Here is a 26937-nt window from a genome sequence, read left to right as displayed (position 1 = left end):
GCAGTTCCCAGCTAGAGTCTGGATAGGGCCTGGCCCTTAGTACCACCTGGTCAGCATCAGCCTTTATCAGTCTCCTCCCACCCAGCACAGGGCCAATCGGGACCCCTGCCTGCTACCCCATGTCCTTTTCCCTGACACCCTGTCTGAACCTCAAGGGGCCACCCTGCCCCCCATCCAGGCTGTGCCACTGATACTGGGGATGCTCTGGTCACTCTGCCCGGCCAAGGCTCTGCCTTTCCCCCTGCCTGGATACCCCACCCCAGCCCAGCCTCATCTCGGGGCAGCCCATCCCCATAAGCGCTCCAAAAGCACCCCAGGCCTGGAAGACACCCCATCCACCCACTGCCCTGCCAGGGCCCCCTCCCACTGTGCAGCAGAGCCACCATCACAGCCCAGCTGTGCCTGCCCACCCATTCCCAGGCTGTCCCAGACCCCAGCCCAGTGACCTTATCACCCTGGGATCCTAGACCCTTCTCTGTCCAGAGTAACCCCCCACCCCCACCCCACCCCCCTGCCAAGTGTGAGGCAGCTGAGAACTTTTACTTTGGGATCTGGCAGAGCTGGATTCAAGCCTGGCTCTACCACTGTTGAGATCTGCTGGGAGGTGTGGCCTGGGGCAAATTTCTCACCCCTGCCAAGCCTCAGTTTCCTCATCTGTGAAATGGGAATCATTACCAACTCCACAGGACTCAGAAGATGAAATAACACACTAGCATTTATTGAGCAGCTACCCATGTCAGGCCTTGCGCTACAAGAACTTTCCATTTTCATTTCCTTTCACCCCTAGGAGGTAGGGATTCTTTGCCTCCAGCACACACAGCAGCCTGGGCCAATCAAGCCTCTAGGATTCTCTAGGAACAGAAGCTCAACAGTGACAAACCATGTCTGTGGCTGAGCCCCAGAAGTCGCTGGCCTGTGTTGGGTGTGAATGGATGTTAGGTGCCTCGAGTCAGCGACAGAGACCAACGGCAAGGGTAGGGATCTCAGAGTGCATTGTTAGAGCCTCGGGGTCTGGTCCAGGAGGCCAGCATTGTTGACATTTTGTGATCTTGGAACCCTTCTCCCTGCAGCAGAGGGAGCATTAGGGAGGCCGGGAGACAGTGGGAGCACCCCCTCACTGTAATGAACACAAGTCCCGTAGGGGGCTGATGGAGCAGGGCCACCTCAATGGACCCACTTTCCCTCCCCAGCCCCTGATTTGATCAGGGCCACAGCTGCCGGCTAGCAGGGGTGGATGCTCCCCCGCCCACTTCCTGGAGGTCCCTGAATGTCCCCATGAGTAGGGCTGAGGAACAGGCCAGAGGTCTGGCCCACCTGGGGCCCCTGGGCATGGAGAAGGATTGGGGCCCAGGCACTTTGGTGAGGCCAGTGGAGGCCACAGTCCCACCCAGGGCCCTGCCCCGGCTACCTATGTTCATAATCCCCAGGCCAGGATAGAGATCCTCGCTGCCCTCTCTCCAGGAACCCCTGCCCCGCCTCACCAGTGTCTGGGTCCCTCCCTGGGCCTGGGTTCCTGCAGGACCTGGCTTGGGCACCACCCTGCATCCCTGATTTCCACCTGTGAGCCTGGCCTGCCCACGTCCCCCACCCTTCTTCTGCCCTCTCCCCACCTGGGTCAGCGGCCCCCTGGAGGCGACAGGGCTGAGGCCCGTCCTTGCGCTAAGAATTCCTCCCCCCAAAACCTGCCCCTTGCACTGAACAGGCAAGACTACTGCTAAGGCAGTGATCTGGGCGCCGCAGGCCTTCCCCACCTTCACCCCCACAGAAGGGCCTGGGAAGGCAGGTCCAGACCTTGCTTTATTGAGGGGGAACTCCAGATGAGGGAACCCACCTGTACCCCTTCCTGACCGCCCCTCACATCCAGGCCCAGGGTTCCCACCTGCTGCCTGGGAACCAGGCCCACCTGGAGACCTAGCTCCAGCACCTCCTGGGCCATCCACACCAGTGCCTATAGCTCTTCAGCTCTGGGGCAAAGAGGGCAGCAAATCCCATGACCAAGGGGAGGGAGGGAGGCCCAGTTAGGATGCAGGCCTAGTCAGGATGGAGGTGGAAGCTTCCTCACTCCGACCTGGGTCTGCCGTTCTCAAAACCAGAACACCCCAAGCCCAGGGCCCTCGCTGTGCCTGGGACCTAGCCTGTCCTCTCCAATTCTCAGTTAACTGCCTGCCTCCCTGGACCTATGGGCTGGTGACTTCGTGTGGGTCCCCCTGGGACACAGGCTCTGCCTTCTGCCCCCACCCATAGAGGCCTCAAGCCCTTCTGGCTTCCAGCAGGGAAAAGTAGAGGAAGGGCCAGCTCCAGGCCCCAGCCAGGGATGGCCCTGCCCCTCCATGCTCACTGAAGGCTGCCTCCACCACCCCATGAGGTTAGAAAACAAAAAGCACTAAGGGGCGGATAGGCAGGGCCACGTGACAGGCAGGGCAGCAAGGGTCAGGGCACTGCAGGGGGAAGCAGCGGTGTGTCTGAGTTCTGTGCGGAGACGCTGGGTGACTCAGGCCCAATGAGCCCCAGGCCAAACAGATTAAGTATGGAGTCAGCAATGATGCGGGCTGTGCGCTTCTGGTACCCGCCTGAGGTCACCATAAGGATGGGCACCCGGCGGCCACGGACCATCCGGAACACCAGCTCATCCCGCTTCACGATGCCCTGTTAGGGGAAGAGGAGGGTGACTCAGGCAGGCCAGACCCCCATGGTGTCAGGAAGTCCTGCTGCAGGGCTAGCCCTGCTCCAAACTGCTGTTGCTTCAGTCCATCTCCTCCCTGACATGAGGCCGCCCACCTTTCCTGCTGCTGCTGAGTCCATAGAGCAGACCCTCCCGTGGCCCCAAGGGTCAGGACGTACCGCTGGGCTGATGGACAGCCCCCCAAGGCGGTCCCCCTCGAGGATGTCGGTGCCTGCATTGTATACCACCACGTCGGGCAGGTGCTCCTGGAGGGATTTCTTGATGTTCCTCTCCACCTTATCCAGGTACTCATCATCCTCTGTGCCCCACTCCAGCTCCACCTTCCGCCTGATGGCCTCTGGGAGAGAGACATGGATGGCCTCAATTTATAGAGAAGGGAAACTGAGGCTCAGGACAAGACTGTGGACACCAGGCAAGACTGGAAACTGGTCTGTCAGATTCAGCACTGCTCAGCCTCATTCCACCCAAAACTAAGGTGAAAAGAGCACCAAGAGCTGCAAAAAGGGGGACTCAAAGGAGAGAAGGGGCACTGAAGCTGAGACACTGCCCTGGGGGTGTGGAGATCTGTGTCGGCAATGTCAGATTTCACTGCCTCCTCTGGGTCTTGCCTACACACATGGACACCCTGCCCTGCCCTTAAGCCCAGGCTCAGCACATGTGAGGTTCTGTTCAGAAATTGGTTCCTTGGGCCATACTAGCTGCTGACTTATCCACACCAGACTCATCGTGACTGGTGCAAAAATGTCCCCTACCTGCAAAGGTGGCAGCCCTGTTTTTAAATCTCATCTGAGAGTCTCTGCCTTTTGATTGATGAGTTTAATGCATTTTCATTTTAACGATTATACATGAATTTCTTTCTTTCTTTCGAGATGGAGTTTCGCTCTTGTTGCCCAAGCTGGAGTGCAATGGCGCGATCTCGGCTTACCGAAACCTCCGCCTCCCAGGTTCAAGCAATTCTCCTGTCTCAGCCTCCCGAGTAGCTGGGATTACAGGCATGCGCCACCACATCCAGCTAATTTTGTATTTTTAGTAGAGATGGGGTTTCTCCATGTTGGTCAGGCTGGTCTCAAACTCCCGACCTCAGGTGATCCGCCCACTTCAGCCTCCCAAAGTGCTGGGATTACAGGCGTGAGCCACCGCGCCCAGCCTATGTGAATTTATTTCTTATTTCGTATTTTCAAATTTATCCTATTTTTCTTTTTTTTCTTTCATTCTTTCCTGTTTTTTGCCAGACAAATGCATGTTTATTGTAAGGGTTATGTGATCTTGGGTGGGTCGAGTGACTTCTCCAGGTCTCGGTTTCCTCATCTGTAAAATGGAAAGGATCACCTCACAGGGATGCTATGAACCACTGCAGTGGCTTCTGCAGGGCCTAGCAGACAGGAGACACTCAGGAGAGAGCCTCATCCACAAGGACACACCCAAGATGAGGGTAGGGGCAGCAGCTTACGCTTGGCAAAGCGGTCCCCTGGGTAGATGTGGCGGTTGTAGACATCCATGATGTACACACGCTTGTCGTCCATGAAGTCTCGCTCATGCCCATTGCCCTGTGGGGAGGTCACAGTAGCCGCTCTCGGGTAGGTGCCCTAGGCAAGGCTGGGGCTCTGCCACCCACCCACCCCTCAGGAAACTCCCCATTTGCCAGGGCAGCACGGCCTGCTCTCGGGGGCAGCAGGTCTCATGACTGTTAAGGGGCAGAGCTGGGATTCAACCTTAAAACCAGGCCCCGACACCTTCTAGCATGGGCTTGAGCAAGCCCAGTGCTCTTAGGTTCCCTATCAGAGGAAGAAATCCCGCTCTGCCACCCTCTCAAGTCTGTGGTGGGACTGGTTGGGATCAGGGATGTGAAAAGCAAACTGTAAAGGACTGTCCACATGTGACCTGGCTCAGGAGTTCGGGGTCGCAAGAACCCAAGGCAGGGCCCCAACTAGCACAAAGCCACAGCAGTAATGGTGCAGGGGGGTGCCTTCCGGAGCCCACTGGGTCCCCTCCCTGTCTGACCAGAGGCACTGGCCTCATTAGGGGTCCTGAGGAGGAGGTAACCCTCTGCTTTGACACTTTACTCCCTAGGCGCCGAGTTCTTAAATGGTGACCCCAGGTGCCCGAGCCAAGCCATGTGTGTGGGCATCCGCCTGAGGGGCAGGTGGCCAGTGCTCAGCAGCTCTGGGCAGGGGGCAGTGCCCCAAATTATTCATAAGCAATGGGGACCCACAGCAGAGCTCTGCACACGAGAGCAGTCCCATCAGAGTGGGCTTCAGGAAGAGCCTCATGTGGGGGCAGTCAGGAGGAGGGAGGGAGGACCCTCGGGAGCAATGAGGAGGACCCGCTGTCCTGGACAGAGTGACAAAGACAGACCCTGCATTTGTAGCCCGAGAGACAGAAGACAGAAGCCGTGAGAGCCGTGGGGACATGAGGAGGGAGACTCTCCTGCCCCGGGAAGATTCTGGAACTGGGGGTGGCAGGTCCCCTAAGAGTCCAGCCCCTGCAGGGCACTCACCTGATGGGCATCAAGATCAATGATGGTAGCCCTGGAGATGCCCTCCACACGCTCAAACAGAAACTGCCAGGGAGGAGAGGGTAGACATGAGGATCTGGGGCGGACAGAGGACCCAGCCCTACAGCAACTCCCAGCTGGCTGGCGAGGGGCGGGGAGGGGGGCCTAATGCTTGTGGGTAATCAGGCCACCCAGCAAAGATGTCACTTGCCAGGGAGAGCTGTGCAGCTCCAGCTGTGGGGCTCCATGTGTGCATGCAGGAGGTGGTCAGGGAAGGCTCCCTGGAGGAGGGGGCATGTCCTGTGCCCTGAAGGGTCATAGGTCAGGAGGTAAGTGGGTCACTCAGGCCCTGGATTTTCCCAGATTCCCTAGGAAATGTGTAGGGGTTAAGGAGAGAATCCCCACAGCCCTGGGACTTCAGTCCCCAACCTCTGCCTTATCCTACAAGGCCAAGTCCTAAATGCCCCCTCTTCCAGGAAGCCTTCATTCCCTCCTCCCCAGGAAGGTCTCCTGTGCTTCCCCCTTCTCCTAATGGCCTGCTTCCCCCCATCAGTCTATGTGCCCCATGAGAGCAGGCACACATAGGAACAGGTCAGTCAGTTCCTGATGCCCAGCACAAGGCCAGGCACAGAGTGGCAGGGGAGTTGTGGGGCCCCACAGACCAGAGGCCAGCGCCAATTCTGCCCCTGCTATTTGCATGCCCTCACCTCTGTGGGCCCCTGTCTGTCTGCGAGGATTCAGGGAGTAAGTCCTGGAGCACAGCGCGGGTTGGAGCATGCAGAACTGCCAGGTGCTATCAGCACCATCATTCTTTCCACTCCCTACTCCCTTTGCCAGCCATGCCCTTCTTCCTACAACTTAATATGTGGCTATACAGCAGATCCTGACCCTCTCTAGTCCCCTGGCTCTGTGGGAGGCTGGAATAACTCCCTTCCACCACAGGCAACCCTTCTAAGCAACATGGAAGAGGAGCAAGTGTCAGATCTGGATTCAGTTCCAGCCTGGCTGAGCAACCCAAACAAGCCCCCTCCCTGCTCCAGCATAGGCCCCTTGTCTATAATTCAGGGTGAGAACAGTTAATTTGGAGCTATGGGGAGGATTCCAGGAGGGCTCTTGGAGGCGAGACCCCACTTGCTCATAGACACACCTTGATGGCGAGCGTGATGTCCGCATAGGCACAGAAGCCCCCGCCACGGTCGCTGGAGCAGTGGTGGAAGCCACCCCCTGCGGAAGGGCAGAGAGCGGTGCTGCTCAGAGCCAGGCTCCCAGGCTCAGTCCAGGAGCTCCTCCATCCCTTCACCTCCCCCAGCATCCTCCCTGCTCAGCTCTCAGGAACCTGTGCCTCGGACTCTGGGTTGGCAAACTAAGCTGAGTGCTGGGGCATGTCACCATCCCCAGGCCAGAAGGCAGCCACATCTTCAGGGTGTCCCCAGCAAGTCCTCAGTGCCACTCACACCCCTAAGCAACAGATAGCTCATCATTCCAGAAGCAGAAAGCTGCTCCTTGTCCCCACCAAGCTGGGCCTGGCTCCATGTGGCTCCCCACTCCAGGAAGGAGTGGTGGTATGGGGGCCACACGGATTCTGCCAGTGGCCAAAGCGGGTGGTCAGGAAGGGCACCCTCTGCTGGTCATGACTGCCTACAGCCACGAGGAGGGCCCTAGAGCCCGGGATCCATCACCCCTCAACCCTGAGACACAGCCTCAGAGCCCTAGGGCCCATAGATACCCCCTCCCCTGCAGCCCCTGGGATGGCCTGAATTGCAGAGGCCCTCTGAAATTGAGCCCAACAACTGCTCCGTCAGACAGTGTGCAGCTGGCCCCATGGATACCAGGAACTTGCCTCTCCCACCCCCCAGGAGGCTACTGTTGGCTCCTAATGATGAGAAGACAGCCACAGTGAACACCTGACTGAGCAACTGAGCTTGCTGAAGACTCCCTCCAGCCCGAGGAGGGGCATTAGCATCACCATCCCCATTTTACAGATGAGGAGACTGACCCACAGAGGAGGTCAGCAACTTGCCCAGGGTCACACAGCCAGGTAATGGCAGAACCAGGATCAAACCCAGGGTGGATCAGGATCCAGGCTCTTAACCTCTACCAGGCAGTAACACCTGCCATGGGGAGGGCCATCCAGGCCCTCCTCGGAACCCTGCTGTAGACACGCAGGGCACAGATCACTCCCGGGTTTGTGCAGCAGAGTACCATAACATCATTACTATGCCAGACTGAATGCTAGGCACCTGGTAATACCAAGATGGAAGAGACCCAGCCCCTGCAGAGTGGGGCTCCCCTCAACTGTGCAGTGGCCCAAGGTGGACTCTCCCCTGCAGAGTTCAGAGCCAAAGGCTGGGGGACCCTGCTTTAGGGCTCTACACGATCCAGTACGCATCTTTCCATGGCCATTTCCTCATCAGTGAGACAGGCCTGACAATTATGCCCAGCTCAAATAAGAGTCTGGGTGAAGGCCGGGCGTGGTGGCTCATGTCTGTAATCTTAGCACTTTGGGAGGCCGAGCGAGGTGGGCGTATCACCTGAGGTCGGGAGTTCAAGACCCAGCCTGACCAACATGGAGAAACCCTGTCTCTACTAAAAATACAAAATTAGCCGGGCATGGTGGTGCATGCCTGTAATCTCAGCTACTCAGGAGGCTGAGGCAGGAGAATTGTTTGAACCTGGGAGGCGGAGGTTGCGGTGAGCCGAGATCGCGCCATTGCACTCCAGCCTGGGCAACAAGAGTGAAACTACGTCTCGAAAAAGAAAAAAAGAGCCTGGTGAAAAAGAGCTTTGTAAATTGTCAAGTGCTGTGCCTCCAGGAGGGACAATGACAGGGACAAGGGAGACTCCCGTGCAGCCCTCCCATGAGCCAATCTTGTGGGAGATTCAAGGGGGCTGGGGAGCACGGGCCCTCTGGACCCTTGAGAAGGTGGTGGTATTGACCCAGGATGTGCCCACCCAACCCAACATGACCAAGCCTCTGTGGGCTGTCCTGGGCCCCAGGACACAGGTGGAGTCCTTCAGGGAAGACACAAGGCAGGCTTCAGACCATGCTGAGCTGCCCAAGGATGGCACACGCTCTCTGGAAGGGAGGAAGCTCCCTGCCACCGGAAGTACGCAAAGAGGGGGCTGGGGAACCACCCGGGGACCTCCTTAGACAAGGATCCCACGTCAGATGGAGGCACTGGTCAGTCTCTCCCAGGTACCTAGGAGGCTACACATCAACCTCCAGGCCACTCCACAAGGAGGCTAGGGTGACTTGGGAAAACCAGAGCTTCTGAATTCACAGCTGCCACCTCCAGGATCCTCCCGCCCTCCCCCAGCCCCCTTTCAGGCCAGTTCCACCAAGCCGGGCTGGACATTCCCGAGGACATTCCCAGCACTCACCCACGTTGATGGCCCAGCCTCGCTCCACAGCCAGCTTCCCCGCCTTTGGAGACAAGCAGAGGGTGAGGGGGCGCAGGCAGCCGATCCACCAGTCATTCATTCACTGATTCATGCACTCATTCCATAAACACTGCTTCTAGCCAGCTCTGGGGGAAGGATGAGCTGAGCTACAAGGCAGGGGTATAGAAGGAACTCCCTACCCCAAGCAACAGTCCAGGAAGTAAGTGCCAGCTTGGCTGGCATATGAGATGTACAGTGCATAAGCACCTTTGAAATTGTGCAAGGAAACTGGAAAAAATAAAAGTACTTATCATCCATCACATATGAGCTGACAATAATTTTGATATGGCTTTCAAAGGGAAAATAGGCAAAGTTTTGCTCACAGAAATACAGTAGACTGGGCCAGGCGCAGTGGCTCACGCCTGTAATCCCAGCACTTTGGGAGGCCGAGGCAGGCGGATCACTTGAGGTCAGGAGTTCAAGACCAGCCTCGCCAACATGGTGAAACCCCGTCTCTACTAAAAATACAAAAATTAGCCAGGCAGAGTGGCGTGTGCCTGTAATCCCAGCTACTCGGGAGGCTGAGGCAGGAGAATCACTTGAACCCAGGAGGCAGAGGTTGCAGTGAGCCAAGGTCACACCCCTGCACTCCAGCCTGGAGGACAGAGTGAGACTCTGTCTCAAAAAAAAAAAAAAAAAAAGCAAAAAAAGAAATATAGTAGACTAAATACTGAAATCTTCCAGGAAATCATAGTTTTGGGGATGGGCAGTAATATTCTACTAAGCTAAAGGAAAAAGTACAAATTTACAAACATAACAGAACTGTAGGGGATCAGTAGGTAGTGATCCAGGGCTGGGTTAGATCCTCATACATTTGCATGTGAAACATTCCTCTATCTCCAAATAACTAGGCAGTGTGTGGCACATTTTTTTAAAAAAACCACACACACAATGTGAAACCTAATTTTGCTGTGGGGATTCTTTGTTGCCACACCCGCAGTGGGGGAGACGTGGAGGCTTATTCATCACTGAAGTCATGGAGGATCAGTTCTCCATCTTAATTTTGGGTGCATTAGGGCTGGGCATGGTGGCTCAAAGCCTGTAATCCCAGTACTTTGGGAGGCCAAGGTGAGTGGATCATTTGAGGTCAGGAGTTCAAGACCAGCCTGGCCAACATGGTAAAACCCCGTCTCTACTAAAAATACAAAAATTAGCCAGGCATGGTGGCGAACACCTGTAGTCCCAGCTACTCAGGAGCCTGAGGCAAGAGAATCGCTTGAACCTAGGAGGCAGAGGTTGCAGTGAGCCAAGATCACACCACTGCACTCCAGCCTGGGCGACAGAACGAGACTCTACTCAAAAAAAAAAAAGAAAGAAAGAAAGAAAAAACTGGTGAGGGGGTGTGCCTTAAAGCCATAGTGCTAGGATATCCGCTTTGGTGGGTGGAGAGGTATATTATATACTAGCAATTACGGTAACAAATAGGAGGTCATAGGAGAAGGAACGATGAGAAGAGAATTCTGATGTCCCAAGATGGGGAAAAAAGGCTTTTGGAGAAAGGGTCATTGTTGCCGAGCCTTGAGGAATATTTAGGATTCTGTTCAACTACTAAGTGGGAGGAGGGCATTCCAGGGCAAAGGAGGTGAGAAGGACCCTGGGGTGTGGGGGCCCCCAGCCCAGCCATGCCCCCCCACCCCACCTACCATTATGGTTCCTCCTGTCTGGGTCCGAAGGGGCCTCAGCACCTTCCTCTGCACAAGGAAGTTGGGGAGGAAGATAACGGGGGGGATTTCTGTGATGGTAGCAACAGCAAAGGACCACTGCGGAAAAAGACAGGGGCTGTTGGCCTCCGCTTCCCCACCCTGAGGCAACCCGTGAGAAATTGGTTCCCCGGGAAATGCCTTGAGGACAGTTTCCAGGTGCCCTTGGATGAACTCCCTGGTCAAGCACACTTCCTTTGGTAGAAATGAGAGCCAGAGCCACAACCCTACCAGGCTCCTGGCAAGCTCTGGGCTCAGTAAAGAGCAGTTTACACAATGCATTTCTTAAAGCTAGTTGGCCAGGGTTCCTCAGCGTTCTGAGGCCCTTGGCTGCCCTCTTGTGCCCAGAACAGGAGGTGCAGAGGGCTCCAAGTCAGCAGTGCAGGTCTAGGACTGCTTTGGGATAACAAATTAGTCTAGACCACCCACTGTACAGAAGGGGACACTGAGGCCTAGGCAGCGAGGATCTTCCCAAGGCCACACAATGAGTCACTGACAGAGCTGGGACGGGAGCCCTGGCCTCTGGCTCCCTCGCACTGCATTGCCTCTTTGTCCATTGGGAATCGGACCTTCCTGGCAAAAGGGATGCACTGCCCTCATCTCCAGCTGCTGAGGCTGGGGGGGTCTACGGTACCTGAAAGGTATCTGCACTAAGATCAGGACAGAGTGTGCCCTGTGACCTCCAAGTGCACCAGGTAAATATCCATGGCACTGGCTGCCCAGCTGAACCCAAACCCCAAGCCATCTCCTGGCTGAAAACGCATCCCTGCTCCCCACCCACGCGAGGCAGAGCCACTCACTTTGTAAATATTTACTAAGTGCCTGCTAGGTGCCCCAGGTGGGCACTGGAGGGCCCATTCTCATGCCAGGACACTTGCAGACACTTATTTGCAGTGTGATGAGTGTGGTGATGAAGAGGAGAACTGGGTGGGGGTTATTAGAGAGGCTTTCTGGGGGTGATGGCATTTGCAGGAGGTGAAGAGTGAATAGGAGTTATCCAGATGCAGAGGTCAAGGGAAAAAGGTATCTGTGGGCAGAGAAGTGAGTCCATGATCTAGAGAAGGTGGGTGCAGCTGGAACAGGGCAGGCTGAGCTTATCACACAGGGCCTGGTCTCCTAGCACAGGCTCACACATTGTCGTCAGGGCAGTAGGGAACCATAGATGGTGCTGTCCCAAGCTGCACTAGCTGCAGCAAGGAGAACCAATTAGGGGAACAGGAATAGAGAAGTAGCAGCCCTAGAGAGGAAGCATGAGATAAGAAGGGTCTGGGGTGGTAAGAGGAGCAGGTATTAGCAGGCAGCATGCAGGGACAAGGGGTAGAGGGCCCAGGTGTCGGGTCTGGGGCCTGTGAGGGTAATGGCACTTGGAGGTGAACCTGAAGCAGGGTACAGAGGCGGCACTAGGTTCTGCTCTCTATGGGCCAAGTCAGCCCCTGGGGCAGCCAGGTGAGACAGCTGAGGTTTAAGTGAGACTGGAGCTCAGAACAGGGGTGGGAGAGTGGGAGGTGAAGGGCTGGGTTGGGACTGCAGGCTTCCCATGCTGAAGGGCAAGGCCCAGAGAGAGAACCCCTGGGGACGATCAAGGGCTTCCCTGGGACAGGGTGAGATGTGGAAAGACCTAAGGTGCAGTGCTCAGGAGGCCAGGTGGAGAGAGGGTGGCTGGAAGGAGCAGGTGGAGGGAGGCACCAAGCTGCAGACATTCCATGAGAGGAAAGTGGGAAGTGTGGCCATTGCGTTCACCAACCAGGAGGAGGAGTTTTAGGATGGGAGAAACACGAGCATGTTCAATGACAGACAGCAGGCAGCAGGCAGGGAGAGGGTGGCCAGGGATGGGTGTGATGGCAGAGGGGTGACGAACCTCAGAGGGCCAAGAGGTGCTGTAGCCAGGCCACTCAGGGCCGGACAAAAGGCAGGACACACCCTAAGTCAGGCCCCAGCAGGGGCCTCATGGCTTAGGCCCTGGCCACCAGGGGAGGCTTCTGTCATAGTCCTGGGGGTGCCAGGCACCCAGCCTGCCCACACTGCTGGGGAATGCCCATGGCCACCAGCCCAGGCCGGCAAGGGCGGCTGAAGGCGGGGGAAGCTGGCATCACTCCCTCACTCTGGTAGAGAAGGCAGTGAGCAGGGTCCCACTCATGGTCGGGAAGGAGAGGTGCCCACGGGGCACCACTTCCACAAGCCCAGGCCCTCTGGCGGTAACATGGAGGCATCACAGGGCCTGGGAAGGGGTGGGAGTGTAAGAGCTGGGACCAGCACAGCCAGACAGCTGCAGGACACACCCATGAGTGTATGTATGTGTGTGTATGTGTCTTGTGTATACATGTGTGCACAGGTATGTCCGTGTGCGTGTGTGCGTGTGTGTATGTTGCGGGACAGACCCAGAGAAAGGAAGGTCCCTGCCTGAGGTCATCAGCTCCTCTTGTTCACCACACTCATCCCACTGCCCGGCAGAGGCCCCGCGTGTGGCTGGCATGGAACCATGGTTTTCCATGAACGAATGAGCAAACAAACGAGCCGCTGAAGGAGCACATGGAGTCACAGCCTCCCTCCCTCCCTGGGAAGCCAGCAGGGGACACAGACTGGAAGACAATGCAGCCGAGAGCCCAGCATGGACACAAACCACGAGAAAGGCATTCTCTCGTGTGCTCCACAGCCACGGGTCTCGCACAGCACTCCTCAAGGAGGCTTCCACCGGCAAGTCGTTTGGGAAGCATGGCTTATGCCGCCTGCCTCCTGGAGATTTGCAGCACATCCTAGCATGCTAAAGGCTCTGAGAAGTTCTGCAGCAAATATTCCATTCTAACTTTGCTCCCCCCAGATGTCAGAAGATCTGCCTGCCCTCTTTGCCTTTTAAGTCACACACACTAACCTTCTGCAAAACTGCAGTGGCATGGGACACACTTGGGAACCTCAAAGAGGTTCCTTGGTATCCTCCACAGATTGGACCTGACCTGGTGCAGGGGCCAGGTGCAGCCACCCAGGAGCATGCACGGGACTTGGCCAGCAGGACCAGCCCCCACAGGAGAAAGTATGTGTGTTTGCTGTGCCAACGTTGGCGAGACGAGCCCCTCAGCGGAGCAGCAGGCTTCGGGCAGTGAAGAGGAGGCTGGCACTTGGGCCTTCTCCTGGTGCAGCAGTGGTTTCTGCACAAGGCAGTGATGTGGTTGCCAACACCCTAGACCAGCACCATCCAATCCAGTGGCTGCCAGCCACAGGTGGCTACTTACGAGTGATTGTAAATTCATCAAAATTTTAAAAATTCAAGTTTGGTTCCTCAGTTACACTCTCCATATTTCAAGAGCCACATGCGGCCAGTGGCGACTGGACTGCACAGAGCAGGTCTGAGCATTTCCATCATTGCAGAAGGTTCCACAGGGCAGCACCGCTCTAGGAGAAACCACCCATCAGTGGCCAAGGTGAGAAATAAACAGAGTGGGTGGGGCGGACTAGTGGCGGGTCCCTGGGTGAGGGGAGGAGAGGGAAGAGGGCCTGGGCTAGAGCAGGCTCTATGTGGTCAGAGGAGGTGGCAGGTAGGAGGAGCTCAGGGCACCACCAGGTGACATCTGGAGATTCACTTTCTGACCAACACTTCCAGGGATAGCCCCCGAGGGAGCTGTGGGTGGGGCAGGTGGGGGGTGCTGCACTGCTGACAGATACCTTCTCTGGGACATGCAGCATGCCACGGTGGGACTGCCCAGATCCAGCAGGTCAGGCTCCCTGATAGTCTCGCCCTGGGCAAGGGCACTGTGGGTGAGGCTAGGACTGGGGTGGACAGGCTCAGAAGTTCCCCAAACTGGTCCAAGTCTGGGTTCTGCCACTGGCTATGTGAATTTAGAATTCACTTCTCTGTGCCTCTGTCTCATCTATAAAACAAGGCTTTGGATGAGGACTTAGAGGTGGAAACCAGTCAGAGAGGCCTGTCCTCCTCATCTAATCTAAAATCCCCACACCCAGCCAGGCTTGGTGGCTTACATCTGTAATCCCAGAACTTTGGGAGGCTGAGGTAGGCGGATTACTTGAGGTCCAGAGTTCACGACCAGCCTGGCCAACATGGTGAAATCTGGTGTCCATTAAAAACACAAAAATTAGCCGGGCATGGTGGCAGGTGCCTGTAATCCCAGCTACTCAGGAGGCGAGGGAGGAGAATCTCTTCAACCCAAGGGGTGGAGGTTGCAGTGAGCCAAGATCGCACCACTGCACTCCAGCCTGGGTGACAGAGTGAAACTCTGTCTCAAAAAAATAAAATAAAATACTCCCACCTGGGGCCCCCTGGAGCCCACACCTTGGCTTCATCTTCCCAGATAGCACTTCTCTCCCTGAGGCTACAGACTGTCCCGATTAGCATCTATCTCCCTCAAAAGGATGCCAGCTCCAGGAGGACAGCACGCGTCTGCTCACTGCTGTGCAGACAGTGCTGAGGCCATGCCTGGCACACAGTAGGTGCTGGCCATGCATGCCGTTGATCCCCTTTTCTGGCTGGTGCACCAGAGCCCTTCTCCTGACAGAAGCCACCTCACCTGCATCATCCCAGGAGAGCCATGACTGACAAGGGCCTGTAACAGCCAGGCCACATGCTTCTGGGCAGGGCAACCCTGTGGTGACATTCACGCCCCAGAGATCTCCATGGAATCAGGCTGAGGCCACACTTCCAAATCCACATCTGTGCTCAGCTGCTCACTCTGCCCGCTCCCCACTGCCTGTGCCTCTTGCAGGGTTCATCTGAAATCGCCTGCACCATCTCAGACTCTGCTTCTAGGGATGTGGTTCTCAGACCAGCAGCATCCACAACACTTGAGAATGTATTAGAAATGCAGATTCCCAGTCTCTACCCAAGACAACATGGATCAGAAACTCTGGGAGGGGCCCAGCCATCTGCTGGAACAAGCCCTCCAGTGTTTCAGATACTTGCTGGGGTTTAAGAGCCACCATTCTAGGGAGCCCAACCTAAGGCAGTGCTGGGTGAATGAGCACACTATGTGAGCATGGGAGGTCTGCCCCAGACTGACGCCACCACCCGCCAAAGGGCATGGCCTGCATGTAGCCAGCTATCAGGGCCCCCATACCTCGTCAGCCTCTGTGGGACTCCACAGAGAGCAGGACATGACTGGGGCTGGCCATATCTCTGGGACCTACTGCCCCATCTACTCAGCTCCACAAGCCTTCACCTTCCAGACACCTGGTTTCCTCAGGCGGACCCGCTGCCCTCAGGTTCAAACCAAGAACTGCTCTCAGGGAAGAGCTAGGCTGTAACCCCTCTAGGGCGCCCACTGCTTGCTTTAGGTGGGTCCTTTCTACCAGTAGAAGGGGAGCAAAAGCAGAGAAGGGGAAAACACGATCTCTCAGTTGATGCACAAAAAGCCTTTGACAAAATTCAATAGCCTTTTGTGATAAAATCACTCAACAAACTAGGAACAGAAGGGAACTCCCTCAACATGATAAAAGGCGTTAAAAAATTTAACCCCACAGCTGACATTATACTCAATGGTAAAATATTGAAAGCCCTCTGTCTAAGATCAGGAACAAGACAAAGATGCCTGCTCCACTACTGCTATTTAACATAGTACTGGAAGTTCCAATCAGAGGAATTAGGCAAGAAAAATAAATAAAAGCCATCCAAATTGGAAAGGAAGCTACCTCTCTTCACAGACGGTATGATGTTATATATAGAGGATCCTAAAGAATACACACACACACACACACACACACACACACACACACACACACACAACTATTAAAGCTAAGAAACAGGCCAGGCGCAGTGGCTCATGCCTGTAATACCAGCACTTTGAGAGGCCGAGGTGGGCAGATCACGAGGTCAAGAGATCGAGACCACACTGGCCAACATGGCGAAACCCCATCTCTACTAAAAATACAAAAATTAGCTGGGCATGGTGGCATGCACCTGCAGTCCCAGCTACTTGGGAGGCTGAGGCAGAAAAATCGCTTGAACCTGGGAGGCGGAGGTTGCAGTGAGCCGAGATCATGCCACTGCACTCCAGCCTGGTAACAGAGAGAGACTCTGTCTAAAAAAAAAAAAAAAAAAAAAAAAAAGAAAAAAATGCTAAGAAACAAATTCAGCAAAGTTGTAGGATACAAGATCAACACAAAAAAATCAGTTGTATTTCTATACAACTGATTATTGTATATACCAGCAATGAACAATCTTAAAAGGAAATTCAAACAATTTCATTTATAATAACATCGAAAAGAATAAAATGCATGGGAATAGATTTAACCAAGAGGTGCAAGATTTGTCCATTGAAAGCTACAAAACATTGCTGAAAGAAATTAAAGACATAAATAAACGGAAAGACATCCCATGTTCATGGATTGAAAGACCGAATATTGTTAAGATGGCAAAACTCCCCAAAGCAATTTACTCAATGCAATTCCTGTCAAAATCCCAATGGCCTTTTTTGCAAAAAATGGAAGTTGATGCTATAATTCACATGGAATCTCAAGGGACCTCAAACAGCCAAAACGATCTTAAAAAAGAACAAAGTTGGCTGGGCACGGTGGCTCATGCCTGTAATCCCAGCACTTTGGGAGGCAGAGGCAGGCAGATCATGAGGTCAGGAGTTTGAGACCAACCTGACCAACATGGTGAGACCTCATCTCTACTAAAAATAGAAAAATTAGCTAGGCGTGGTGCCGGGCGCCTGTAATCCCAGCTACTCGGGAGGCTGAGGCAGGAGAATCACCTGAAACCAGAAGGCGGAGGTTGCAGTGAGCCGAGATCGCGCCATTGCACTCCAGCATAGGCGACAAAGCGAGACTGCGTCTCAAAAAAAAAAAAAGAACAAAGTTGGAGGCCTCACAATCTGGAATTTCAAAATTTGCTCCAAAGCCACAATAACCACAGTAAGCCACAGTAACAGTACCAAAATAGTGTGGTATTGACATATAGATCAAATGAATAGAATTGGCTGGGCGCAGTGGCTCACACATGCCTGTAATCCCAGTACTTTGAGAGGCCGAGGTGAGCAAATCACTTGAGGTCACGAATTCAGGACCAGCCTAGCCAACATGGTGAAACCCCATCTCTACCAAGAAACACAAAAATTAGCCAGGCATGGTAGCACACGCCTGTAGTCCCAGCTACCTGGGAGGCTGAGATGGGAGAATTGCTTGAACCCAGGAGACGGAGGTTGCAGTGAGCCAAGATGGAGCCACCGTACTCCAGCCTGGGCTGTCGAAAGAATGCAACCCTTTCTTAAACAAACAAACCAAAAAAATGAATAGAATTGAGAGTCTAGAAATAAATCCATACATCTATGGCCAGTTGATTTTCTACAAAGGTACCAAGACCATTCAACAGGGGAAAAACAGCCTAACAAATGGTGCTGGGATAACTGGATATCTGAGTACAAAACAATGAAGTTGGACTTGCCTCACACATATACAAAAATTAACTCAAAATTTATCAAGGCCTAAATATAAGTGAAAACTATAAAACTCTTAGAAGAAAACACATGCGGTAAACCTTCATGACCTTGGGTTTGGCAATGGATTCTTAGATATGACACCTAAAGAAAAGGAAAAAAAGATAAATTGGACTTCAGCAAAACTAAAATTTTTGTGCATCAAAGGACACTATCAAAAAAAAGACAACCCACAGAATGGGAGGAGTTATTTACAAATTAAATAATATCCAGAATATATAAAGAACCCTACAACTCAACAAAAAGACAAGCCAATTTTAAAAATGGACAAAGGACTTGAATAAACATTTCTCCAAATGACATATACAAATAGCCAATCAGCACATGAAAAGATCCTCAGTGTTAATTAGCCATTAGGTAAATGCAAATTAAAACCATGAGATACCACTTCACATCCAGTAAGATGGCCACACTGGGGGGGAAAAAAAAAAACACCAGAAAATAACAAGCATTGAAAAGGATGTAGAGAAATTGGGACCCTGGTACATTACTGGTGGAAATGGTGCAGCCCCCGTGGAGATCACCTTGATGGTTCTTCAGAAAATTAAACAGAATTACCATGTGACCCAGTAATTCTACTCCTAGGTGTATACCCCAAATAACTGAAAACAGGTATTCTAATAAATACTCGTATGCACATGTCCACAGCAACACTACTCACAATAGCCAAAAGGCCTATAAACTAATGAATGGATAAAAAAAATGTAGTGTTTTACAATGGAATATCATTCTGCTGTGAAAAGGAATGAAGTACTGATACATGCTACAACACAACACAGATGAATGTTGAAAACGCTGTGCTTAGTGAGATAAGCCAGACACAAAAGGTCACATATTGTATGATTCCATTTATATGAAATATCCAGGATAGGCAAATCCATAGAGAGAGAATGCAGGTGAGTGATTACCAAGGGGACTTGGGGGGATAAATGGGGAGCAAGTGTTTAAAGGACACAGGGTTTCCTTTTGGAGTGATGAAAATGTTTGGAACTAGAGATGATGGTTGCAGCACTTTGTGAATGGACTAAAGGCCACTGAACTGTACAGTTTAAAGTGGTTAATGGCGAATTTTGTTATGTAAATTTTACCACAATTAAAAAAAATTTTTTTTTAAAGGAGAGAGGAGCCCCTCAGGGAAGAGAAGAGAGAGTTGGAGACCAAGAGGAGCTCACTCCCCTAGAGACTCTCCAGGGTCCCTCCAGGTGCTCCATGGAGCTATGGTCTGTGTCTCCTTCTCTCCACACTATACTGGAACTCATGACAGATAGTTCTGCCCTGGGATCTTTGCACTTGCTGTTTCTTCTGCTTGGAATGCCCTTCCCCAGATGACCACATCACCCACTCCCTCACTCCCTTCCCACATGTCACCTGTGATCACAGGTAGTAAGCCCTTTCCTGACTCCTGATTTAAAACTGCCATCCTCTCACCAGCTCTCCCCACCCCTTTTCTGCTGTCCCTTCCTTTCTTCACGACACTCAGCACCATCTAACATATTATCTCATTACTTAATTATTACATTTATTGTCTGACTCTCCCACCTAAATGCCAGCTCCAGCAGGAAAGGGATGTGGTCTTTTGCTCCATCCCATCCCTGCAGCACCTAGATCACAGAGTGGTGCCCTCTGAGCACTTGCTGGATCCACGTGTTCTGAGCACTGTCCAGTGCAGAGTGCACAGGGGCAGGATGTCAGATGCTGCCCAGCACTAACCGACACTCCATGGCAAACTGTCACCCGAGAATCAACCAAAGGCAAGAGCCCAGTGCTGGGGCACTGGGGAGCTCAACAGCTACCCTCAGAGGGGCCAACCCTGGACCTTGCACACAGCAGGAGCTTGATAAACATGGGTTTCCCTGAATTGACATCTTGCAAACGTCCAGCTCCTGCTTCTCCTTCAGTGCCCTGTTTATTAAGTATCAAAGGCCACACCAGTGCAGAGTCAGGCATGAGCCCCAGGCAGGGGTTGGGGGTAGAATGGGATGAGGCAGGGGAGACGGTGGATGTTACACAGCACACACAGAATGACCAGGGAAAAGCAGCCTGAGAAACCTGAAGGACTCTCTAGGGCACTCTCTGGGCGCCCACAGCAGAGGAAGGAGAAAAGAAACATTGCAGACATCTGCAGGGAGGTGGGAGATGTTCCTGAGCTGCAGCCTTAGGTGCCAGATGATGTCTGAAACGGGCTTGGGTCCCACCTGGGCAGCAAGGGCATGTCACACCATATCACCCTCCTGCTGAAAACCCCCTCGTGACTGTCCAAGGTCCCTGGAACAACATATACACTCCTCCCACGGCCTGCAAGACCTTGTGTGGCCTGGGGCTCTGGCCTCCCTAACTGCACCGTGTACGAGCCACAATGTTTTATTCCCTTCCATCCGGCCTCCCAAGCATTCTTCTCCCCTTTGGAAGATCAAGTCCCCTCCACCCTCCAGGCCTGGGATTCTGAAACATTCTTCCTTCAAAGCTATACATGAGGGCCAGGAGCAGTGGCTCATGCCTGTAATCCCAGCACTTTGGGAGGCCGAGGCAGATGGATTGCTTGAGGTCAGGAGTTCGAGACCAGCCTGGCCAACATGGTGAAAACTCCGTCTCTACTAAAAATACAAAAATTAGCCGGGCATGGTGGCAGGTGCCTGTAATCCTAGCTACTTGGGAGGCTGAGGCAGGAGAATCGCTTGAACCAAGAGGCAGAGGTTGCTGTGAGCTGAGATCGCACCACTGTACTCGAGCCTGGGCAACAAAGCGAGATTCCTTCTCCAAAAAAAAAAAAAAAAAAAAAAAACACCTCTACATGAGTATCACCTGCTCCTTTGTTTAGTCTCAACTCAAACATCACCTCCTCTGTGAGGCCCTCCCTGACCATCCAATTACCCTCTATTTTTCACTTTCTTCATAGCCCTTGGTGCTCTCTAAAATGCTCTTGGGTGGTTGCTTCCTTAATTTTAATCTTCCACGACTCAAATGCAAATCCATGGTGGCAGAGAGCCCTGCTGTCTTATTCTCTCTGTACAGTTGGCATTCAATACAGATGTGTTGAATGACTGACTACTTCTTCATCTTTTTCTTTTTTTTTTTTTTTTTTTTTTGAGATGGAGTTTCACTCTTATTGCCCAAGCTGGAGTGCAATGGCGCAATCTCGGCTCACTGCAACCTCTACCTCCCAGGTTCAAGTGATTTTCCTGCCTCAGCCTCCCAGGTAGCTGGGATTACAGGCATGCACTACCATGCCTGGCTAATTTTGTAGTTTTAGTAGAGACAGGGTTTCTCCATGTTGGCCAGGCTGATCTCAAACTCCCGACCTCAAGTGATCCGCCCGCCTCGTTCTCCCAAAGTGCTGGGATTACAGGCATGAGTCACTGCACCCGGCCTACTTCTTCATCTTAATAGGTGCCGTAGAAACCATCATGTTTCTCCTTTTGTTCTGACTGCCAGGGAGCTCCAAGCCAAATATGCAGCTGGATCACCATCTTGGTTAACTTTTTCAGTGGACATACCTGAATTCTCCTCCTACCCTCAACCTCAGTTTTCTACTTGGGACTCTACCTGTTAATACTTTTATTATTTTTTTTAAGAGACAGTCTCACTCTGTCATACCAGCTGGAGTGCAGTGGTGCAATCATAGCTCACTACAGCTTCAAACTCCTGGGCTCAAGGTCTCCTGCCTCAGGCTCCCAAGTAGCTAGGACTACAAGTGCATGCCACTACACCCAGCTATTTTGTATTATTATATATCACATAGTAAGCTGCTTTCAGGCTTTTGGGGGACCAAGGCCAGGCATGCAGCCTGCCCAACACAGTTCCCCTGAAGGCCCCTCAAATGGGTGGGGCCCTGGAACCTAGGCCCCCCACCCCCAGCCTGGTTCAATCACACCATTCTGTTTTGGTTTCTCCCTGCCCCAGCTGAGCGCCTCCTGTCCCTTCCTTCCCCTCACCCTCGGGACTCTGGCAGGCATGTCCTCCTGGCCCAGCCCTAGGCTGTGGACTGTGACCACGCATGCCTGGGCCCCAGGAAACCAGGGCAGCCAAGCACTGGGCTTCCTGCCAAGGCCTCACACCCCTCTCTCTCCCAGGAGCCAGGTTTCAACCTCTTCCTGGTAATCTTTCATGTGCTCACACTGTCGTGGCCCTATCTAGAATTCTCACACCTCAGGCTGCGGTTGGGGAGCAGGGAGGCAGCAGCCCTGACTGGGAACCTAGAAGACTGGACTGGATGACCTGCCAGGGGTCTCCCCAAGGCCCGGCCAACTTCCCAGGTGACCTTGAGCACAGCCTCTTTCTGGACCTAGGCTTTTCCACCTGTGGAGCAGAGGGGCCTGCTGGCCTCAGGCATCCACTGTGGCTCTGAGTCTAAGGTGAGCTCAGCCAGGGAGCCTGGGGGTCAGGGCTCCCACACTCTTGGGGCAGATAACCTGAGGCATCCCTGACCCCACCCCCACCAAGGCAGGCTGGCAGTACCAGATTCCAATGCAAGCCCCCGCCCCAACCTCCCCTCTGTTCCTACAAAGAGCACTGAACTGAATGCCTCAGCCCTCAGAACTTCAGCCACTAATAGGAGCTGTGTCCTTCTCTGGAAAGAGGTCACAAGCAGGCAGCCAGTGTGCCCAGTTTGGTCTACAGGTGGGCTTTTACAATCTTATAATGAGTGCCACATTAAGAAATCAGGGCCGGGTGTGGTGGCTCACCCCTATAATTCCAGCTACTTCGGAGGCTGAGGCAGAAAAATTGTTTGAACCCGGGAGGCGGAGGTTACAGTGAGCTGAGATCGTGCCACTGCACTTCAGCCTGCTCAACAAGAGCGAGACTCAGTCTCAAAAAAAAAATCAGGAAATGTCACTTAATAATCTGGATTCCTGGCTTCTCTTTGAAGACCAGGTGCTCTGGCCATGCCGGGCCCACAGTGGAGCTGAGGAGCCGCCCCTTGGGAAGGGGCAGGAGTTCACCTCAGACTCTACCACCGGCCCTCCCACTTGTTTCTCTTCTCTGCTGAGCCCTGAGGGTTTCAAATTAGTTTTTAGACCAACAATTTTCAACAAAACTTCAGCAGAAGTACTTAGACCAGAGTCTTAAACTTCAGCCCAATATAAAAAATAGGGTGGGTGCGGTGGCTCACGCCTGTAACCCCAGCACTTTGGGAGGCCGAGGTGGGCAGATGACCTGAGTTCAGGAGTTCGAGACCAGCTTGGCCAACACGGCGAAACCACATCTCTACTAAAATACAAAAAAAATTAGCCAGGCATGGTGGCACGCGCCTGTAATCCTAGCTACTCACTCAGGAGGGTGAGACAGGATAATTGCTTGAACCCGGAAGGCGGAGGTTGCAATGAGCCGAGATCACATCACTGCACTCCAGCCTGGGCGACAGAGTGAGACTCCATTTCAAGAACAAAAACCAACAAAAAAATGAACAAACAAACAAACAAAATAGACCAAAGTGAAAGAGCTATGTATGGTTGGAGGACAGGGGCTGGGGTCTCGGAGGCGTGTCGACAGAGCACAGCTTGAAAGTCATAATGTAGAAGCCTAAAATTCTATGAAGGCTTTCATACGCCCTGGAGAAGGGGAGGACACCACCCTCAGAGTGGCCTGGCCCAAACTGAGGTCTGCCTTTTTATGACCTCTCTCCTTCTCTTGGGGACCACAGACTCCCATGTTCCTCCAACACTAGGGACATGAATGGGTGCCCTGTGAGACTTGGCTTCCCCAGGCTGAGTCACCTCCTGCCTCTGGCCACTCCTGGCCAGCAGCCCCCTGCCCCAGGCCCGCAGCCCCCCAGGCCCGACATCCTGTACCTTGAGCTCATTAAGATAGCGCCTCGTGTGCACCACCAGCAGGTCCTCCTCCGAGGCCTCCCGCGCCTCCACCAGCATGCTGTCAGACAGAAGCTTCTCTTCTGAAACCACAGAGGGAGCATCCTGCTTCCCCACTGACCTCAAGGCCAGGGCCAGCCCCAGACCCTCCCACAGGCTGCAGACTTGGCCTGTGGCAGCCCCTGCCCCAGGGGTAGGTAGGCACTGCTGGCTTGTGGGCCTTCTGAGAAGGGGTAGCCTCCCCAGCCACTGTGGACAGTGGCCAGTCCCTCTGGCCAGGGAGCAATGAACATCGTACACACAGCAATCCCCATGTTTCCCAAGCCACTGATAGTCACAAGGAGAGCTCAGGTGTGCTAGACAACCTTCAGGAGCAGGTGGCACAAGGGTCAGGGATGTTGACCCTCAGAGTGAGAAAAACTCTTCTTAGGAATTCCCCCTCCACCTTCCCCCCGCCCTTTTTTTTTTTTTAATTCATTTAAAGAGACAGGGTCTTGGCCAGGTGTGGTGGTTCACGCCTGTAATCCCAGCACTTTGGGAGGTTGAGGCAGGTGGATTGCTTGAGCCCAGGAGTTCAAGACCAGCCTAGACAACATAGTGAGACCGCATCTCTACAAAATATCAAAAACATGAGGTGGGAGGATCACTTAAGCCAGGGAGGTTGAGGTGGCAATGAGCCTTGATTCCGCCACTGCACTCTAGCCTGGGTGATGGGAGTGAGACCCTGTCTCAATAAATAAATAAACAAATAAATAAATGCAAGACAAGGTCTTGCTCTGTAGCCCAGGCTGGAGTGCAGTGGCACAACCATAGCTCACTGCACCCTCGAACTTCTGGGCTCAAGTGATCCTCCTGCCTCAGCATTTCAAGTAGCTAGGACTATAGGTGCATACCACCACCCCCAGCTAAGTTTTTTATTTTTATTTTGTAGAGACAGGATCTTGCTATGTTGCCCAAGCTGGTCTCAAACTCCCGGCCTCAAGTGTTCTCCTAGCCTTGGCCTCCCAGAGTGCTGGGATTACAGGCACGAGCCACTGCGCCCGGCCTCCCTCCACCTTCTGATGATATTACAGGAGGCTCAGTGTGGCATGGCCTCGCAACACCTGCCTGTGCTTTGCTCATCTTCCGTTCAAACCACTAATCAGTCTCACAGCCTGCAGGCAATAGTAACCAGCCTGGATTGAATTATACTGTTGTTTTCATTGCATTTACTTTTTTACCATGACCTATTTATGGCAAGTGAAACTGCCTTTTCCCATTTTGATGACATAATGTTTCCTTTTAAAACAAGTTTAAGTGAATTTCCCACCTAAATCAGGCCCCTTGATTACAAACCACAGTTAAAACGATATGCTCTTCGAAGCATCATTTTGCTCAAGGGGATGAGCCCTAAAGGTAGGGCGCCTGGAGCTCTGAGTTCCAAACCCAACTCCGCCTCTTGTAACTGTGTTACTTCAGCCACTAATGGGAGCTGTGTCCTTCCCTGGAAAGAGGTCACAAGCAGGCAGCCAGTGTGCCCAGTTCGGTCTACAGGTGGGCTTTTACAATCTTATAATGAGTGCCATATTAAGAAATCAGGGCCGGGTGTGGTGGCTCACGCCTGTAATTCCAGCTACTTGGGAGGCTGAGGCAGAAAAATTGTTTGAACCTGAAAGGCGGAGGTTACAGTGAGCTCCTGAGCCTCTGCTGCGATTGTGGTGCCTACCCCGAGGGCTGCTGTGAGGACTGGACTGGAATTGGGTGCACATGTTTCCTAATCATTCTAGGACACAATTTCCCCCATCTGTAATCAAGAGAGGTGCGGTGGAGGTGCTCTACCTCCTGACTCTCTGAACCTTAGGAAATGGACTCCTCCAAGCTTCACCTTCCCTGTGCCCATCAGTAATCAGCTACCTTTCCACTAGGCCTCTTGGGCAGAGGCAGGACTTAGGCCCACAGGATGGGGAGCCAGGGAGAGTCTGAGTCAGGGACATCATATCGTGATTAGGAGTCTGTGTTGGAAAAATCATTTTGGGCGGAAGCATGGGTGGAAGGCCATCCGAGGGCTGAAACTGAAGATGGGAGAGAGCCTGAGGCTTATGTTGGGGATGAGGACGGAGAGGACAGGTGGGTTGGAGGAAGCAGATGAGAGTCCAAGGGGGACCTTCCATACCTTTTAGGAAATTGATCACTTTGCCCCATTTTCCGGCATCAAAGGGATGCAGCTTCTCCAGGCCCATGAAGGTGATGTTGTAGCGCGGCGAGTACACGATTGGCCAGCGTGTCTCTGGCACATGCTGGTACAGCTGGGTTGTGTGTAGCCTACCGTGTGGAAAAAGACAGACGCACAGCTGGGGCAGCCTCGGCAGAAAGCAGCTCCCTCCCGAGCCCGCCTGGACTGACCCACCAGCCATTGCCCAGCACCACTAGCCCCTCAGCCGCAGACAAGGGCCCCTCAACAACAGCTGCTTAAACTGGCTGCCTTTCCCGGAACCCAATTCCAATCCAGTCCTCACAGCAGCCCTGGGGGTAGGCACCACAATCGCACCAGAGGCTCAGAGAGCAGACCAGGTGTGCCCAAGGTCACAGTGCAGGTCTGTGGAGAAGCAGGCGTGCACTCAGGTGTGTCTGGCTGCAAGGCCTCCGCGCATCACCTCTGCACCGTAATAAATGCCCCCACAGCTGTGTGGCACAAGGCTTCGGCTGCAAAATGTGTGGCTGTTGTGAGGACTCAGAGAATGCAACTGAGGAGCTGAGCACAGTAAGCACTCAGAAACCCAAGTCGGGACCCAACCTGAGCCAGGGCGGGGGGCGGGGATCCCCTGACCCCGCTGCGCTGCTAACCCTTCCCATCACACCCTGGCAGTCGTCACCCAGAGACAGAAATCCGCCCCAGTGGCTGCCTCCGTGGGGGCGTCCGCGTAGCCAGGGGGCTGGGCAGCGCAGACGTCAGACCCGCGCACATCGCCCGACCGCTCCGGGTCCGGGCCCAGGCCCGCGGCCGGCGCGCGTCCCTCGGGCCACCGAGCAGGGGCGCGGGGCTGGCCTGGCGCGCCGGGAGGGCCTGGAAACACCCGTCCCGAGCGTCCCTCACCCCTCACCAGCAAATCTGGGCCCTTACCTGGCGCGCCCGCCCGGCCGTCCCCGCCCTCGCCCTAGCGCGCCCGCCCACCGGGACCCCTGGGAGCCCACCCCCGCCCTCGCCCCGCGGCACTCACATCCCGGGGCCGGCCCTCCCAAAGCTGGCCGCAGCTCCGCGACCGGGCGGGGCGGGGCGGGGCGCGGGTGGGGCCAGCCCAGGACACGCCCCCGGGCTTAGCCGCGTCCTCTGGGGGCAGAGCTCTGGCCGATTTGGCCCGCCCCGCCAGTGTTGCGACACAGAGAGCCTGCC

General features: G+C 53.9%; 1 protein-coding gene across 3 annotated transcripts, besides 4 other annotated features; it reads right to left on the bottom strand.

Annotated features, from left to right (window-relative positions):
• Nucleotides 1-697: 697 nt before the first annotated feature.
• Nucleotides 698-26808, bottom strand: HDAC11 (histone deacetylase 11). Of its 3 annotated transcripts, none has more exons than NM_001136041.3 (10): nt 26668-26808; nt 25720-25868; nt 23550-23650; nt 10262-10309; nt 8559-8601; nt 6325-6401; nt 5181-5243; nt 4134-4230; nt 2842-3020; nt 698-2646 (listed from the first exon to the last, which is right to left on the bottom strand). In NM_001136041.3, exons 2-10 carry the CDS (start codon nt 25784-25786, stop codon nt 2431-2433), a joined length of 891 nt encoding a protein of 296 aa, NP_001129513.1. In that variant the 5' UTR covers nt 25787-25868; nt 26668-26808; the 3' UTR covers nt 698-2430. The 3 variants fall into 3 exon arrangements, with proteins under 3 accessions (NP_001129513.1, NP_079103.2, NP_001317565.1); NM_024827.4 differs by having other exon boundaries at nt 10262-10378; nt 26765-26808; NM_001330636.2 differs by lacking the exons at nt 6325-6401; nt 8559-8601; nt 10262-10309 and having other exon boundaries at nt 26765-26808.
• Nucleotides 23451-23745: a silencer, noted in NCBI's record as "tiled region #12997; HepG2 Repressive non-DNase unmatched - State 7:EnhWF, and K562 Repressive DNase matched - State 8:EnhW". NCBI's record gives its function as "represses a minimal TATA promoter and a strong SV40 promoter by Sharpr-MPRA in HepG2 and K562 cells {active_cell/tissue: HepG2 | K562}" and the evidence as "EXISTENCE:reporter gene assay evidence [ECO:0000049][PMID:27701403]".
• Nucleotides 26087-26743: an enhancer, noted in NCBI's record as "H3K4me1 hESC enhancer chr3:13521871-13522527 (GRCh37/hg19 assembly coordinates)". NCBI's record gives its function as "activates a minimal SCP1, AML or CMV promoter by ChIP-STARR-seq in naive H9 embryonic stem cells {active_cell/tissue: H9 hESC(naive)}" and the evidence as "EXISTENCE:reporter gene assay evidence [ECO:0000049][PMID:30033119]".
• Nucleotides 26087-26932: a biological region, named in NCBI's record as "H3K4me1 hESC enhancer GRCh37_chr3:13521871-13522527".
• Nucleotides 26443-26932: a silencer, noted in NCBI's record as "silent region_14086". NCBI's record gives its function as "represses an Ori minimal core promoter by ATAC-STARR-seq in GM12878 lymphoblastoid cells {active_cell/tissue: GM12878}" and the evidence as "EXISTENCE:reporter gene assay evidence [ECO:0000049][PMID:35858748]".

Source organism: Homo sapiens, chromosome 3, assembly GCF_000001405.40.
Source record: "Homo sapiens chromosome 3, GRCh38.p14 Primary Assembly".
Lineage (NCBI taxonomy): Eukaryota > Metazoa > Chordata > Mammalia > Primates > Hominidae > Homo > Homo sapiens.
This window is presented reverse-complemented; position numbering and strand designations above follow the sequence as displayed.